The sequence below is a fragment of the Homo sapiens genome, chromosome 5 (genome assembly GCF_000001405.40).
Source record: "Homo sapiens chromosome 5, GRCh38.p14 Primary Assembly".
In the NCBI taxonomy this organism is placed as follows: Eukaryota; Metazoa; Chordata; class Mammalia; order Primates; family Hominidae; genus Homo; species Homo sapiens.
The window spans coordinates 176,746,448-176,765,038 of NC_000005.10; the positions used below are offsets into that span (position 1 = coordinate 176,746,448).

General features: G+C 41.1%; 2 annotated features.

The window, feature by feature from the left end:
* Nucleotides 1,350-2,008: an enhancer, noted in NCBI's record as "H3K4me1 hESC enhancer chr5:176174798-176175456 (GRCh37/hg19 assembly coordinates)". NCBI's record gives its function as "activates a minimal SCP1, AML or CMV promoter by ChIP-STARR-seq in primed H9 embryonic stem cells {active_cell/tissue: H9 hESC(primed)}" and the evidence as "EXISTENCE:reporter gene assay evidence [ECO:0000049][PMID:30033119]".
* Nucleotides 2,669-3,327: an enhancer, noted in NCBI's record as "H3K4me1 hESC enhancer chr5:176176117-176176775 (GRCh37/hg19 assembly coordinates)". NCBI's record gives its function as "activates a minimal SCP1, AML or CMV promoter by ChIP-STARR-seq in naive H9 embryonic stem cells {active_cell/tissue: H9 hESC(naive)}" and the evidence as "EXISTENCE:reporter gene assay evidence [ECO:0000049][PMID:30033119]".

An 18,591-nucleotide genomic window follows, 5' to 3' on the forward strand; every position in this document is an offset into this window, starting at 1 on the left:
GTTTGTTGATTTTGAAAGCTGAGTTGCATTTGAGAGATGAGGTTATGTGCCAGCGGAAAGAAGCAGCTCCCGTATTAGTAGAAGACACCAAAGCTGGAAAAGGAGGGTCTCCCAGTGAGAGCGGGAGGCCAGAACAGGAGGCTCTGCCTGAGACCCCCTGACTTTCGCATCTCCCTTGAGGAAGAGACTTCAGTTCTTGTCTCCCTGAGCACAGAAGTCTCCCAAGATGCAGCTTCTTGCTCTAAGGCTCTGGCTCAGGCAGAATGAAAACCTCCTTCTCTAGGTTCCTTTAGCAGAGTAGGGCCAAATTTTGTTATTTTTATTTTTATTTTATTTTACGTATGTATTTTTTTTTGAGACAGAGTCTTGCTCTGTCACCCAAGCTGGAGTGCAGCCGCCTGATCTTGGTGGATATGTGTGTCAGTGCAGGAAGGACGATTGCTCACTGTAATCTCTGCCTCCTGGGTTCAAGCGATTCTCCTGCCTCAACCTCCCGAGTAGCTGGGATTACAGGCATCCCACCTGTACAGCCACCACGCCCGGCTAATTTTTGTATTTTTAGTAGAGATGAGGTTTTGCCATGTTGGCCAGGCTAGTCTTGAACTCCTGACCTCAGGTGATCTGCCCGCCTCGGCTTCCCAAAGTGCTAGGATTACGGGCGTGAGCCACCGCACCCAGCCCCCAATTAAAACAAAAATTGTTTTGTGCACGTGCATGTGCACACACAGACACTCCTGCCTCTTGTTTGAGCCTTTGGGAGCCCTAAGAGCTTCTTTCTCTCATCCATTCTGCCCCATTGTATTTCTTGGCCAAGTCATTTTTGTTCTCGAATGACAGAAAACCCTTTCTAAATGGCTTATGCAAAAAAGGAAATGTGTTGGCTTGCGTAATTAAAAAGCCCCAGGGTGGTCTTCAGGCACAGCTGGATCCAGGACTCAAATGGGGTTTTCAGGACCCAGCTTCTCCCTCTCTTTGCTGCTGTTGGACCAGTTTCAATCTCAGGCTGGGTGTGGGGAACCTCAGAAGCTCTGCGCTCCTCGCTGTGGCAGCAAGATGGTTGCTATACCTCGCACTCCCCTCCTGTTGGGGCCAACTTTGAAAGGAAGAGCGGAGGCTGATGGAGAATGTCTTGGCTAGAACTGGACCAGGGACCCCTTTGCAGGCCAATCACTCTGCCAGGGGTATGGAATGGTGATCTTCTGGGGCCCCTGCCCACCCCCAGAGCCCAAAGTGGAATATGAGAGCGGGTGAAGGACAGTAGATGGCCAAACCCAGATGCCACTGCAGCCATGGAGGACACGCTCAGGACGCCAGGCACCCATGGGGCCACCACCCAGGGTGTGCAGCCTCTCTTGTCACACTCCTCTCCTTTCCCAGGCAGCTGGTGAGGCAGTGGGGCCTCTGACTGGGAACCCAGCTTGTTTGTTACAACTTACATGTGATGAAGGGAAAAAGGAAAAGTGAGAAGAAAATGCAAGAGGTGGGAAAGTGGTCCTGTGGGCAGCGGTGGCCATTTGTCATTTTCCGGCTGCTCAGAATCCACCCTTTTCATGGATATCACCCCAAATCTCCCTCTAGATCTGCATAACCCAGCCACCCACCTCCCAAGGCAGAAGTGAAAGCACCAGGCTCCCCCTGCTGCACCCCAGATGCAGCCAGGGTGGAGGTGTCCAGCCTGAGCTCTCCCATCTGATGCCTGCTCCTGGGACGCGGACTCTGGAGTGGGCATCTCAGGGCCCACAGGGACAGCAGGACGGCCTGCCCCACCTCTCCCCACCGTGGCCACAACAACGCCCAGACAGGGATGTTCTGGTTTCCTCTCACTCCCTGCCCATCTCCAGGCCTGGTTTCTCAGCTTCCTCCTGATTTAGGGAGGCCCCAACAAGCACCCAAGAGTGTCCTTTTCTTCCATTTGCCTCACAGAATCCTCTTGACATTCACAAAACTCAGGTTTCTGTCCAGCCAGGGCCAGCTCACTCCCAGGGCACCAGCCCTGTCCTCTCCAGGCCTGTCTAAGAGGAGGCTACACCCAGCCCCAGAGGTGAGAGCATTTCACCACCCCTTGCCCGGGCACTCCTGGCCCTCACGGGACCCCCGTGGAGGTGTCCGCTCTCAGACACTGTGACGCCCTCACGGCCAAGGTCAGAGAGCCTCTTTCAAGGACCTTCCCCTCTCTGGACCTTGCCGACAGTCCTAGTTTCTAGTGATAGGCTCGTTCCCGACTCATTGGTGGGACCCTGGCAAGGTGCTCGGTGAACGAGCTCACTCACGTTGACGTTTCAATCAGCATGTTTATCTCCCACCCACCCACCCCTGCACTAACCGAATTTTTTCTCCTGCCCCGAGGGTGTCTTTCCTCTTCCAGCCTCCACACCATGCATGACTCACTTGCTGCGGAGTCGGGCATTCAGGCTGCAGAGGCTCAGCGTCAAGGCTCCAAAGCCTCTGGAAGGAGATGCCAATGGATGTGGGGGGGCTCATGTTCACAGACAACACACCCAGCGGGGGCTGGGGGAGACGGCAGGTGGGAGGGCTGGGAAAGTCGTGTGCCCCATTTCACCCCACCACCCCCTTCCTTTTTTCTCTTCCAGGAGCACCACCAGGTGGTCATCTGGAAGCTGAGTCTCTCTGAGGGCCTCTGTAGTCACCAATGGTCACAAACGGCCAGCGGTCACTCATTTCCCATCAGCGTTCTGGATAGGAGTGATGCTGTCCAAGCCCCTGGAATCGTAGCATCACCTGACTCAGGCCATCCTCGGGGGTGGGACATGTAGAAGGTGACAGGGCATAAGGACAAGGAGAAAGCCTGGTCCTGCCCCAGGCTATGTGGGAACCGCTGTGAAATCGCCTACAGGACATTAGCACCTGGCCACAAAGCCAGAGTCAGCCCTACCCGTCTAGGGAAATGGTGGGCTCCCTTTGAGACCAACATCCATTTCCTGACTCTGGGGGTTACCCCGTAGATGATCCCGCAGGAGATGACAGTGCGCTCATGGTGTGGCTCAACAGATCCACATTCACCTTGCTCAAGGCCCCTGCCCCTGGAGTGAGACTGTGCCTGTTTATCAGTGGATGGGCGTGAGCTGCAGTGAGTGTGGGGGGCCAGGTTGCTCGCTGGAGGAGGGAAAGGTTCCGGAAAGGACAGCACAGACACTGAGCCCCTGTGGTCCGGGAAGCTTTTCCTAGAAACTCCCAGGCCAGTGGTGTTCAGCTCTGCCGCCCAAAGCATCTCAAAGATGTGCTGGAGTTTCCCAGAACGAGGTCAATTTGTCCACCAGACCAGAAGCTTCCTGTGTGTGCTTTATCTCACCACTGGCAGCCCAGGGCCCCGCAGAGAACTGCCACTCAGTAGGTCTTCGTTGGTATTTGCTGAAGAAACAAGTCTGCCCCTAAACAGAGAAGGTGGCAAGGTAGTTACTATCTGGCTTGGAGATTATGTATGAGTTGATTGGTCACGTCAAAAGTCAAAATTAAATCTATCCAGATGCCATAGTTAAAAGGGCCCAATGATGTATTGGTTGGGTGATTTCTTTTGTGAAAACAGCTCTAAAGCGTTATCCATTTTTCTCTCCAGAGCTCACTTTAAATGTGTTCCATTTTGGACTTTAGAATTTATTTTAGGGCTCCCACAGTATCTTTGCTCTCTGAGACTTGCAATGGCTCTGGGCTAAAAGCAATAGCCAACTTCAGAAGGGGAAGGAGAAAGGCTCTGCGTCGCAGATTGCAGCCTCCAAAAGGGGAAAATTTTCCAGAGACCTCCGGTGGTGGCTACGGCAAAGTTCTCTTCTGTCTGGGGGCCATCTCAGGCCCCCTTTCATCCAAGGAAGCAAACATTTCTGCACAAAAACAATCCTCAGCCACAAAGCCAGAGCTTTCTGAGCATGTGGATCAGTCGGAATGCTCCAGCAATAATGAGTAACTTTGAATAATGCTTGAGCAAAGTTTCCCAGCAGCTGAGCGGAGGCCGTGGGTTCGCCGGGAGCACTGCAGGCCCTTGGTCCTGTCCCCAGGGCTGCTCATGGAGGATGGAGGAGCATGCAAACAGCACTTTAAGTGATCATCGCTGATCCTTTCTGTTCCTCTGTATCAGAAAAAATACTCTAGCACAGCAAACCTGTGATTTCTCCAACATTCTTATTCAAGACAAGGAGAAACTAGGTATTTAAATGAACTGAAACAAATAAGTAAATAATACCGCGTGTGGTACAAGGGTATAGCGAAAATCATGAGTGTATCATGCAAATGACTAAAGTTTGGGAGATGTGGCTTTTTGTCACATAGCCGTGGTCCTCAGCATGAAAGCACACACACTCTGAGCTCCCTGCTCCTGCCTTCTGTGATCAATGTTTCTAAAGCCCGTGGGCAGCCAGAAATCAGAGTACAATAAATATGTGCAATGGAATGTGGAGGGAGAGTGCAATGAGGATGTTTTTTGGTCTCAATAACAATTTTTTCTTTGGTCTCACCTACAAAGTAGAAGGTCACTAATCCATGAATTGCAGATCAAAAGGAAACTTTGAGACCATGTGGTGAATCAAGCATTCTCACCCTATTTCACAGACGAGGAGACTGAGTCTCAGAGGAGAAGGGGACTTGCCTAAGATTATACAGCAAGTGAGAACTGGCCCTAGAAAGCAATTTTTAGATCAAAAACAACAGCCTAAATTCCTGGACGTATAACACATGCCTACAAATCAATAAGAAAGAACCAGTCGAAAAACGGGGTAAGGATTTCAGAGAAAATACAAACATCATTTAAACATCAGAAAAGATGCTCAACTCCGGGCATAATAGACACACACGTTAAAATTATACTGACACATCTGCTTCTAGCTATGATGGACTAGCCTGCATCAGACCAATCACCCTGCTGGGAGCAATTCGGAAGGCTGGATGAAATACTACAGAAACAGCTGTTTGAAGATACTGGAGAGGCACCAAGGGTCCCAGATCCCAGATCCCAGAGAGGAGGGAAGCTCACAGAGGGGAGCCTGCTGTTCGGCAGAGCTCTGTCCCCTGCAGTGTTTGCCACTTCTGAGCAGTGCCTGAGAGGCTGAGAAGCACGTTAGCCATCTCATGGGGCTGGGGAGACAAAAACTGGAATCCAGGGCCTCTTGAGAAATAAGGACCCTATCTATATCCCCATATTCAGAACAGCACGACAAAATAGCTTAAAGGCAGAAGCAACTCAAGCGCCCATCGACAGATGAAAAAGGATAAACAAAATGTGGCATATACACTCAAGGGAACATTACTCAGCTTTAAAAAGGAAGGAAGTTCTGACACACGGTACGATGTGGATGAACCTAGACAACGTTACGCTAAGTGAAGTCAGCCAGTTGCATGAAGACAAATACTGCATGATTCCACTTACGTGAGATATTCAGAGTAATCACCTTCATAGAGACAGAAAGTGGAATGGTAGTTGCCAGGGGCTTGAAGGAGGTGGAATTAGGAGTTAGTGTTTAATAGATGTGGCGTTTCACTTGGGGATGATGGAAAGAGTTCTGGAGATGGATGGTGCTGATGGCTGCACAACAATGGGAAGGTACTTAATGCACTGACATACACACTTAAACAGGGTTAAGATGGTAAATCTTATGTTCTGTGTATTTCAGAACAATTTTTCTAAAAGCAAGAACGTTGGTAAATAGCCTAGGCTTTCATCCGGGATCCCAAAGCACTATACCCTAGAAGTAAGTTAGCCAGAACGAAACCGGCCCTTTCAGGGACTGCAGGCCTGTTTCAAATCATCTTAATTCCTGGTTGGATAAATGCAATTTAAGATTGATGCTGCCCCTGGCTTAGCAGAAGTTAAAGTAAATCCTCCCTGGAGGAGGATAACAGCATCCAGAGCCTCAAATTACCTTTTCCATGTTCATTTATTATGTCTGATATTCAGTGAAAAACAGAAATGCAGAAATACAAGAACGGGATGAAAACCAAGAGAAAAATAACACATTACAAACATATCCACGTGGTCTCAGATATTCGAGGTACCATAGTTGGCCTTTGAAATAACTGTAATTAGTATATTCAAGAAGCTAGATAACAAGAACGGGAATTTCAGCAGAGAACTAGAAACTATTAGAAAAAAGAATCAAATGGAAATTCTAAAAATAAAAAAGGGGGTGATAAATTTGACAGAAGATGTGTAAGATCTGCACATATAAAACTCAAAACATTGCTGAGAGAAATTAAAGGAAATATAAATACAGAAATACATTGCGTTCATGGATTGGAAGATTCAATGTGGTTAAGATGTTGATTCTCCCAAACTCATCTATAAAAACAATTTTTTTTTTTTTTGGTGGAGATTGACAAGCTCATTCTAAAATCTCTATGGAATGATCTAGAATAACCAAACATTTTGAAAAAGAAGAATAAGATGGGGAATTTACACTACCTTATTTCGAGACATTATTAAAGCTACAATAGTCAAGACAGTGTGGTATTGGTATAAAGATAGACATCTAGATCAATGGAACAGAAGAATGATTCAAGAAACAGACCACAGCTGTTGATTTTTGAAAAAGATACCAAGGCAATTAATGAATAAAGGATATTCTTTTCAACAACTGATGCTAGAACACTTGGATAAACATATGTAAAAAGATAAAAATAAAATTTAAAAGAAACCTTGACCTTATCTCACACCGTATACAAACTGAAATGGTCTATGATCCTTGAAATTAGGGTCTATGATCCTCATAAAGTAGGCCTAAAAAATTAGATGTATGGTCCTTGAAATGGATCATAGACCAAAATGTAAAAGCAAAGCTATAAAACTTCTAGAAGAAAATCTTAGCAATCTTGGGTTTGGTAAAGTTTTCTTAAATATGACAAAAACAATGACATATACAAGAAAAATAATAAAATGGACTTCACTAAGCTTAAAATATTTAGTCTTTAAAAGACACTATTCTGTTTGGCAGTTTCTTAAATATATACTTGCCATATGACTTAGCAATTCTTCTAGAAGAAAAGATGTGTTCACACAAAGACTTGCATGTGATTGCTAATGACAACTTTAATTATAATAGGCAAAAACTGGAAACAATTCAAATGTCCATCAAATGGTAAATTCATAAGCAAAGTATGGTATATTCACATAATGGAATACTACTCAGCAATGAAATGAGTTATTGATAGATGCAACAAGATATAGATGAATCTCAAAAACATTATGCTAAGTGAGAGAAGCCAGACACAAAAGGATATATGTGTATATATTTTTAGAGACAAGGTCTCACTCTGTTGCCCAGGCTGAAGTGCAGTAGCTCACGATAACCTTGAACACCTGTGCTTAAGTGATCCTCCCACCTCGGCTTCCCGAATAGCTGGGACTACAGGCGTCCTCCACCATGCCTGGCTAGTTTTTCAAATTTTTTGTAAAGACAAAGTCTCACTATGTTGCCCAGGCCCAAACTCCTGCCTCAAGCGATCCTCTTGCCTTGGCCTCCTGAGTCACTGGGATTACAGGTGTGAGCCACCACACCCAGTCTGTATGTTTATATACATACATACATACATACGTATATATATATATGAAATTTCTAGAAAAGGCAAAACTATATATCTAATAAGCATATCAGTGAGTGTCTGAGGCCCATGATGAGAGTGAGGCATGACTATAAACAGGCACAGGGGAACTTTTGGGGGTAGGGAAAGTGTTCTAAAATGGTATTGTGGTGATAGGTGAACAATCAAATTATTTACTAAAAATCATTGACCTGCACACTTACAATGGACGAATTGTATAATGTGTAAATTAGACTTTAGTAAAGCTGTTAAAAGTGGGAGGAAAAGACAGTGATAAAAAATTAAAAGGCCAACCGCAAACCTGGGGAAAGTATTTGCAAAATATATATCTGACAAAGGACTTGTATCTAGAATAGATTGAAAACTATTACAGCTCAATAAGAAGACGATAAACAACCCAATTTGTTAAATGGGCAAAATATTTGTTCAGACATTTCACCATAGAAGTTAAATGGTTGTCAAACAAATGCAGGAAAGGACACCCAACAACATTCATCATCAGGGAAATGCCAATGAAAAAACCACAATGAGATTCTACCATCCAGCCACTAGAATGACTAATGTTAAAAACATTGATCACACCAAGTGTTGGTGAGGATGTGAAGCAACTAGAACTCTGACACAAAGATTCATCCATGAATGTTCATAATAATGTCATTGTTAGAGCCAACATCTGTAAAAATCCAGAGGCTCAACATCATCAGACAGTGATAAATGAATTGTAGCATGCCATGCAATAGAATACGACTCAGCAATAAAAAGGAAGGAACTGTTGATATAACAGCATGGGTGATGCATATTGATGCAACATATGGGTGAATCTCAAAATAATTATGCTGAGTTAAAAACAAGCCAGACCAAAAATAAATACCTACTGTATGATTCCATTTATATAAAATTCTAGAGAATGCAAATGAATGTATAGTGATAAAAAGTAGATCAGTTGTTGACTAGGGAGAGAGGACAGGGAGGGACAGATTAAGGACATGAGGAAACTTATTCATTATAGCAATGGTTTCACAGGTGAATGCATATGTCAAATCTGATCAAGGTGCATACTTTAAATATGTGCAGTTTTTGTCCCTCAATTATGATTTAATAAAACTGTTTAAAATGGGAAACATAATGTTAAACACAATAACTAAAAGTAAGAACTAAATAATGGGTTAAGAAACCACTGAAGTCACCTTGTAAGATCGATCAGAAAGAAATATCTTACATTGCATCAGAAGAAAATATAGAATGGAAAATACATACAAGAATAAGGAATAGGCCAGGCATGGTGGTTCAGGCCTGTAACCCCAATGCTTTGGGAGGCCCCAGTAGGAGGATTGCTTGAGGCAAGGAGTTCCAGACCAGCCTGGGCAACATAGTGAGACCTCATCTCCACAAAAAGTAAAAAAATTAGCCAGGTATGTGGTGTTGCGCACCTACAATCCCAGCTACTAGGAGGCTGTGGTGGGAGGATCCCTCAAGCCCAGAAGTTCTAGGCTGCATTGAGCTCTGATTGTGCCATTGCATTCCAGCCTAGGTGACAGAGTGACACCCTGTCCTCCCCCCCCCCAAAAAAAAAGAAAAGAAAGAAAAACAAAACAAAACAAAAAAAAAACAGAATAAGAACTATATGAGTCATGGTGAAAGGGCTAATATGACATGTAACTGGAATCCAGGAAGGGAAGGAAAGAGAAGACAGAAGAGGAAGAAAAGGCATAAATAATATTGGAAAAGACAATGGCTAAGAATTTTCTTAAAAGCATATATAAGATAACATGCACTGGGCGCGGTGGCTCACGCCTGTAATCCTAGCACTTTGGAAGGCCGAGGCGGGCAGATTGCCTGAGCTCAGGAGTTCAAGACCAGCCTAGGCAACATGGCGAAACACTGTCTCTACTAAAAAAAAAAAAAAAAAAAAAAATACAAAAAATTAGCCAGGTGTGGTGGCACACACCTGTAATACCAGCTACTCAGGAGGCTGAGGCAGAAGAATCACTTGAACTGGGGAGGTGGAGGTTGCAGTGAGCCAAGATCGTGCCACTACACTCCAGCCTGGGCAACAGAGCAAGACTCTGTCTCAAAAAAAAAATAATAATAATAATAATATGCCACAAATTCAAGCAGAGCTAGAAAACCACACCTAGACATACCAATTTAACACTACTGAAAATCAAGGACAAAGGGAAAATCTTAAAAGCAGCCAGAGATAAAATGCCAATTGCTTCCAAACGACAGCAATAAGACTGATAATTGATTTCTCAACAGAAGTAATGAGATCAAGAAGACATTGGACTGATAACTTGAAAACACTGGAAGAAAAGAACTTCCAACCTCAAATTCTACTGAAAATAGTCTTCAAATAATAAAGAGATATTTTCAGCTATCAAAAACTGAGATCATTTATTACTAACAGATGCATACTGAAGCCAGTACTAGCAGGGGTTTTTCAGGCAGAAAGAAAATGACCTCAGGTGGAAACATCAAGTTGCAAGAAGGAAAGACAAATAACAGAAAATGTTAATATAAGGGTAAATGAAATTATTATTGACTATATAAGACAATAAAAATGTATTTTAGGGTTTAAAATCAAATGAAAATACAAAATGACAACAGCATAAAAGGTGGGAGAGGAGTAAATAGAATTTAGTGTTATAAGGTTCTTATGACTCTGGGAGGGGATAAAATTATTAATTTACATTCAACTTGATTAAGTCAAAGATGAAATTTTAGACTAATTGTCAAAGCTAATAAGCTAATAGGCAAAGAAAATGGAATAAAATAAGTATTTGATTGATACAAAAGAAGGCAAGGGACAGATGGGACAAATAGAAAACCAATCATAAGGTGGTAGATTTAGATGCAAATGTAGAAGTAATTACACTAAATGTAAATGAACTGAGTATTCCAATTAGAGGACAGATATTGTTAGATTTGATTTTTTAAATTCTATATGTTATTTGCAGGAAATAAGCTTCCAATATAAAAAGGTGAACATAAAAAAAAATTTACAAAGAAACTACTAAAAACAGCAAAAAGTTGAGGTTGTTACATTATTATCAGATAAAGGGGGCTTCAAAGCAGAATATTTAGTTAGATATAATGAGAGACATTTCTTAATAATAAAGGTTAAATCCACTAGGAAAATAGAATAATTCTTTATATATTTTATATTTCTAATTACATAACCTCAACATATATAAATAACTGAATAGAACTAAATGGAGAAATAGAGGAATTCACAATCATCATCCAGGGATTTTAATATAGCCGTCTCAATAATGTTTAGGACAGACCAAAAAATCAGTGAGGATATAGAATATTTGAATAATATATATAACAAATTTGACCTAACTAACATATACAATACACTGAGCTCCACAACTTCTGATATACATTTTGTGTGAGTGTGTGCACATGGAACATTTATCAAAATGAACCATATCTTGGCCTTAAAGTAAGTCTCAACAAATTTCATAAGATTGAAATTCTTGACCATAGGAGTTAGGCTAAAAAACAATTTTTAAAAAACTTTTTAAAACCCAAATGTCTGGAAATTATAAAGTATCCTTCTAAATAGCCTCAGCTCAACATTAAAATAATCATGAAAATTGGAAAGCATTCCTCAAAGAGCTAAAAGCAGAGCTACCATTTGACCAGCAATCTTATTACTGGGTACACACATTGCAGCACTGTTCACAATAGTAAAGACATAGAATCAACATAAATGCCCATCAATGACAGATTGGATAAAGAAAATGTGGTACACATACACCATGGAATATTATGCAGCCATAAAAAAGAACAAGATCAGATCTTTTGCAGGAACATGGATGGAGCTGGAGGCTATCATCCTTAGCAAACTATACAGGAACAGAAAACCAAACACAGCATGTTCTCACTTATAAGTGGGAGCTAAATGATAAGAACTTATGAACACAAAGAAGGAAGCAACAGACACTGCAGTCTATTTGAGCAGGGAGGGTGGCAGGTGGAAGAGGAGCAGAAAAGATAACTATTGGGTACTAAGCTTAATAGTGGGGTGATGTAACAGTATGTACAACAAGCCCCTGTGACACATGTTTATCTATGTAACAAACCTTCACATGTACCCCCAAACCTAAAATAACAATTAAAAGGAAAGAAAAGAAAATTAGAAAGCATTTTAAGCAGAATGATAATGAAAACACAAGATATTAAAACCTGTGTAGGTACAGCTACAGTCATGCTTAGAGGTAGCATTTAAAAAGGAAGAAGACTGAAAATAAATAAGATGTAAAAAGAACAGCATATTTATCCTTTAAAGAAACTTAGAAGAAAAAAATAAGAGCAGAAATTAATAAAACAGGAAAGAAACAACAGAGAGGATCAGTTAAGTCAAATGTTTTCTTAAAGAGGAATAAAAGTGATAACTCCTAGAAGACTGATTATTTTTTTCTTTTTCTTTCTTTCGACTTTTTTTTTCTTTCTTTTTTTAGACAGGGTCTCTTGCAAAGACTCCAGGCTGGAGTGCAGTGGCACAATCATAGTTTACTGTAACCTTGACCTCCTGGGCTCAAGTAGCCCCCCTGCATAGCTGGGACTACAGGCCCACACCACTGCATGTGGCTAATTTTAAAATTTTTTATAGAGACAAGGTCTCGCTGTGTTGCCCAGTTTGGTCTCGAACTTCTGGCCTCAGGCAGTCTTCCTGCCTCAGCCTCCTAAATTGTTGGGATAACAGATGTGAGCCACCATGCCTGGCAAGACCGATTTTTAAGAGACAGCAAGATAAGGCACAACTAGCTAATATCAGAAATGAAAAGAGGAACATCATTAGAGATCCTACATATATTAAAAATAAGAGGATATTATGAATAACTGTATGCTAGAAAATTTGAAATTTTAGATAAAATAGAAGAATTGCTAAACACAACTTACCAAAACTGATAGAAGAAACAGAAAATCTGAAAATTCTTCTATCCATTAAATAAATTATATTTGTAGCTAAAACCCTTCCCACAAAGAAAACCCCTGCGCCAGTATGTCTTCATTGAATAATTCTTCCAAACATATAAGGAAGAAATATCACCAACCTTACATATAGTTCACCAGAGAATAGAAGAAAAGAAATAATTTCCAATTATTTTATATAAAGCCAGCATAGCCTTCATATTAAAACTTGATTATGAAAAGCATAAGAAAAGAAAATCTCTCTTATGAACACAGCAATCTCTTTCACAGACATATACTCCTGAATAAATTATTAGTGAACTGAATCCAGAAACACAGAACAATGCATCACCACCAACTTGAGTTTATTCAAGGAATGCAAGGCTGGCTTTAAAAAAAAAAGAAGGGTGTAATTTCCCACACTAACAGAATAAAGGCTAAAATTGTGTAATCATTTCAACAAATGCAGAAAAAGCAATTGATAAAAATCAACACCTATTTACAATTTTAAAAAGCTCTTAGCAAACTAGGAATCGACAGAAACGTATTTAATATGACAAAGGTTATGTATAAGACATGTATAGCATATATCATGTTTAATGATGGATATTAAAAGTTTTCTGCCTGCAATTATGGATGAGACGAGGTTGTCTACTTTCTCTGCTTCTTTTAAATTCTTACCCACTGTACTGGAGGTCCTGGTCAGTGCAATAAGGCAAGTAAACAAAATGGAAAGGAAAAAATAAATCTGTCATTATTCATAGATAACATGATTATGTATTCAGAAAATCCACAGGAAAATATCAGAATAAAACTTCTATGCTGAAATCTACTAAACATTATTGAGAGAAATTAAATTAAAGAAGACCTAAGTAAATGGAGGGATACAATGTTTGTAGCGTGAAAGACTCATTATTATAAAGATGTCGATTCCCCCAGAATTGACCTGCAGATTCCATGAAATCTCAATAAAAATCAACAGGGTGTGTGTGTGTGTGTGTGTGTAAATTGACAGGCTAATTTTAAACTTTATATAGAAACATAAAGCGTGGAAAATAGTCAAAACAATCTTGAAGACAAAACGAAGTGGGAGGACTTATACTATCAGATATCAAAACAGTATAAAACTACAATCATTAAAAAAAGTATAATATTGGCATAAGGGTAGACGATGGGCCAGAATAAAGTCCAGAAACAGATACACACATACAGGTGAGGATTTGAGTTTTTTACAAAGTTGATATGACAGAGTGGTGGGAAAGTTTGAGCTCATCCTTTAATAAATAATATATCTTCTTTTTTTTTTTTTTGAGATGGAGTCTCACTCTGTTGCCCAGGCTGGAGTGCAGTGGCACAATCTCAGCTCACTGCAAGCTCCGCCTCCCGGGTTCACGCCATTCTCCTGCCTCAGCCTCCCAAGTAGCTGGGACTACAGGCGCCTGCCACCACACCTGGTTAATTTTTGTATTTTTAGTAGAGACGGGGTTTCACCATGTTAGCCAGGATGGTCTTGATCTCCTGACCTTGTGAGCCGCCTGCCTCGGCTTCCCAAAGTAGTGCTGGGATTACAGGCATGAGCCACTGTGCCCGGCCAATAATAAAGATCTTCAATAAATGGTGCAGGGTCAGCTAGATATTCACATGGACAAAATCATTCTTAGCTCTTATTTTATACTATATGAAAAGTAAAATAATAAAGCTCCTAGAAAATAACATTGGAGAATATCTTTGTGAAATTGGTCAGGGCAAAGGCTTATTATATAGGATATAATGGCACTAGCATCAAGAAAAGTATTGATAAATTGGACTGCATTAAAATCAAGTACTTCTATCCATCAAAAGACATTATTCACACACAGCTGGGCACGGTGGCTCATGCTTGTAATCGCAGCACTTTGGGAGGCCAGGGAGGGTGGATCACTTGAGGTTAGGAGTTGGAGGCCAGCCTGGCCAACATGGTGAAACTCCGTCTCTACTGAAATACAAAAATTAGCCGAGTGTGATAGTGTGGTAATGTGAGACTCTGTCTCAAAAAAAAAAAAAAAAAAAAAGACACTATTAATACAATGAGAAGTCAAGCCCCAGAAAGTGAAAGATATCTTCTGTACATATCACTTACAAAGCAAGACAGAAAGTCTCACTCTGTCGCCCAGGCCGGAGTGCAATGGCACTATCTCAGCTCACTGCAACCTCCGCCTCCCAGGTTCAAGCCAGTCTCCTGTCTCAGCCTCCCGAGTAGCTGAGATTACAGGAGTGCACCACCATGCCTAGCTAATTTTTTGTGTTTTTAGTAGGGACAGGGTTTCACCATGCTGGCCAGAGTGGTCTCGAACTCCTTACCTCAAGTGATCCACCCTCCTTGGCCCCCTGAAGTGCTAGGATTACAGGTGTGAGCCACTGCGCCAGGTCGCTTACAAAAGACCTTTATCCAGTACATACAAAGAACTCCAACAAATCAATAAGTAAAGGAAGACTCAACAGAGAACTCAGTAAAAGATTTGAACAGGCATTTCATAAGAAAGACTCTCTACACACATATGAAAGGCCACTAACCTTTAGTCATCTGGGAAATGCAAATTAAAACCACCTTGAGATAACTACTCCGAAAGTTAAAAAGACTGGCATTTTCACATATGAAAGGGCGCTAACCTTCTTTAGTCATCTGGGAAATGCAAATTAAAACCATTTGAGATAACTACTCCAAAAGTTAAAAAGACTGTCATTTTCAAGTGTTCATGAGGATATAGATCTCGTGGAATTCTTATCACAGCAAAATTGTAAATCAAAAAACTACTTTGGAAAACTGTGTAGCATTATCTACTAAAGCAGAACATATGCATGTCCTATGGTCCAGCAATTCTACTTCTAGATGTTTCCCCAACAGTCATGAGTATATATTGGACCAAAAGACAAGTACAAGAAGGTTTACTGCATCACTATTTGCTCCAAACAGGAAACAACCCAAATGACCATCAATAGTAGGATGGATAAATAAATTGCAGCATAGTCCTTTAGTGGAATACTATGCGCCAATGAAAATGAATGAACTGCAACTACACAACAAGAATGAATCTCACAGATGTTACGTTGAATGAAAGATGCCTGGCACAAGGGTATGGGCTGTATGACTCCACTTATATAAAAGGCAAATGAGGCAAAACTAATCTATGGTGATAGGAGTCAGGTTGAATGTTACCTTGGGGAGGGAAGATAGTGACTGGAAGGGGGTGAGGAGGCTTCTGGACTCTCAGATAATGTTCTATATCGTGATCATGGTACTGTCTACCATATAAGTTCACTTTGTGAAAATTTATCAAAGTGTACACTTATTATTTGTGCCGTTTTCTGTAAGTATGTGAGACTTAGATAAAAAACTTTGTTCATAAAAAAATTATGCCAAGACACCAAAAACTGGCAAAGATTCAAGAGCTGGATGGCGCTGTGTGCTGGGGTGGGTGAACAGGTGCTGTCACACATTGCAAGCACACAACCCCTGCAGAGGGAGATTTGACAATCTACCAAGTTACAAATGCACATATCTTAAAAAACAAAAAAAAGTAATAGACTATTTTTTGAGAGCAGTTTTAGGTTCATGGCAAAAGTGAGCATCAAGTACAGAGAATCCCCACATGCCCCTCCCCCTAGCCTCCCCCAACACTACACATCCCCACCATGCACCTGTCCGTGAATCAGCGCTGACTCATCACTATCAACTAAAGCCCATCGTTTACATTAGGGCTCACTCTTTGAGTTGTAGAGTCTATGTTTTTTTTTTAATTAATAAACCTTTATTTAGAGCAGTTTTACGTTCACAGCAAAATGGAGCAGAAAGTACAGAGAGCTCCCATAGAGCGCCCTCTGGCCTGCCTCATCCGGTGACCACACAGCCTCCCCGACTACCAACATCCTGCATCAGGTGGTACATTTGCTGCAATCGATGGACCTCTGTTAACACATCGTTATCACCCAAAGTCCATAGTTTCTGTGAGAGCTCACTCTTGATGTTCTCCATTCTATGGGTTTGGACAAGTATAGAAGGACACATGTCTGCTACTATAGTACCATACACAACAGTTTCCCTGCCCTAAAATCCCCTGTGCTCCAATTCACACCTCCATTGTCTCAAACCCCTGGCAACCGCTGATCTTTTATTTTTATTTATTTATTTATTTATTTATTTATTTAGAGATGGGGTTTCACTCTTGTTGCCCAGGCTGGAGTGCAATGGCACGATCTCAGCTCACCACAACCTCCACTTCCCGGGTTCGAGCCATTCTCCTGCCTCACCCTCCCGAGTAGCTGGGATTACAGACATGCACCACCACGCCCAACTAATTTTTGTATTTTTAGTAGAGACGGGGTTTCTCCATGTTGGTCAGGCTGGTCTCGAACTCCCGACCTCAGATGATCCACCCGCCTTGGCCTCCCAAAGTGCTGGGATTACAGGCATGAGCCACCATGCCCGGCCGATCTTTTAATTGTGGTAAAATTAAAAGATTTTAATTTTTAAAGTTTTAAATTTAAAGTCTTAATACAATTTACATCTTCACCGTTTTTAAGTGTATCATTCAATGGCATTCAGGGCATTCACACTGTCGTGCAATCATTATCACCATCCATTTCTAGAACTCTTCATCTGGCAAGTCTGAAACTCTATACCCATTAAATAACAACTTCCATTATACCTTCCCCCCAGCCCCTGGCAACCATGATTCTACTGTCTCTGTGAGTTGGACTGAGTTGGACTGCTCTAGATAACTCATGTAAGTGGAATCATACAGTATTTGTCCTTTTGTGCCTGACTTATTTCACTCACAAATTATCCTCAAGATTCATCCATATTGTTGCACATGTCAGAATTTTATGGCTGAGTATTATTCCATGCATGTATAGACCACATTTGTGTCTATTGATGGACACTTGGGTTGCTTCCACTCTTTGGCTATTGTGAATAATACTGCTATGAACTCAAGTGTGCAAATATCTCAAGTCCCTGCTTGAACATGAGTGTGCAAATATCTCAAGTCCCTGCTTTCATTACTTTTGGGCAAATACCCATATGGTAATTCTACTTGTAATTTTCTGAGGAATCACTATAATGTACTCCATAGCAGCTGCACCTTTTTACATTCCCACCAACAGTGCACAAGAGTTTCAATGTCTCCACATCCTCATCAACATTTGCTATTTTCTGAGGTTTTTTTAAAGCCTTATTTTCTAAAAAGCAGTTTCAGGTTTACAACAAAATTGAGAGAAAGTTACAGAACTGTCCCATATACCCCCTGCCCATACACATGCACTGCCTCCCCCATTATCAACGTCCCCCACCAGACTGGTGCATTTGTTATAAATGATGAACCTACACATGGTAAAACACTGTAATCACTAAAGTCCAGAGTTGACATTAGAGTTCACTCTTGGTGTTGTACATTCTGTGGGTTTGAATGAATGTATAATGCCATGTGTCCACCATTATAGTTTGATACAGAGTAGTTTCACTGTCCTAAAAGTCCTTTGCGCTCCACTCATTCATCCCTCCTTCCCCCCAACCCCTGGCAACCACTGATCATTTTATTGTCTCCATAGCATTGAGTTTTCCCAAAGTCATCTGGTTGGAACTCAGATTGGCTTCTTTCACTTAGCAGCAGACGTTCCAGATTCCTTCATGTTTTTTAGTGGCTTAATAGCTCATTTCTTTCAGTGCTAAATAATATTCCCTTGTTTAGGTAATTTATCCATTCATTTACTGAAGGGTATCAATACACGGATGCTGCCGAGTCTTCACAATTATGAATAAAATTGCTATACCATTAATGTTTAAAGTGGTTATTGACATAGTGGGATTAATATCTACCATATTTGCTAATCTTCTATTCATTGCCCTTGTTCTCTGTTTCTATTTTTGTCTTCTACTATTTTTCTGTCTTTTGTGGTTTCAATTGAGCATTTGATATGATTCTATAATCTCTCCTTTCTTAGCACATCAATTATACTTAAAAAAATTTTTTTATTGGTTGCCCCAGAATTTGTGATATACACTTACAATGAATCCAAGTTCACTTTCAAATGACACTGTACTGATTCATGGGTAGTGCAAGTAACTTTATAGTAACAAAATATTCCTAA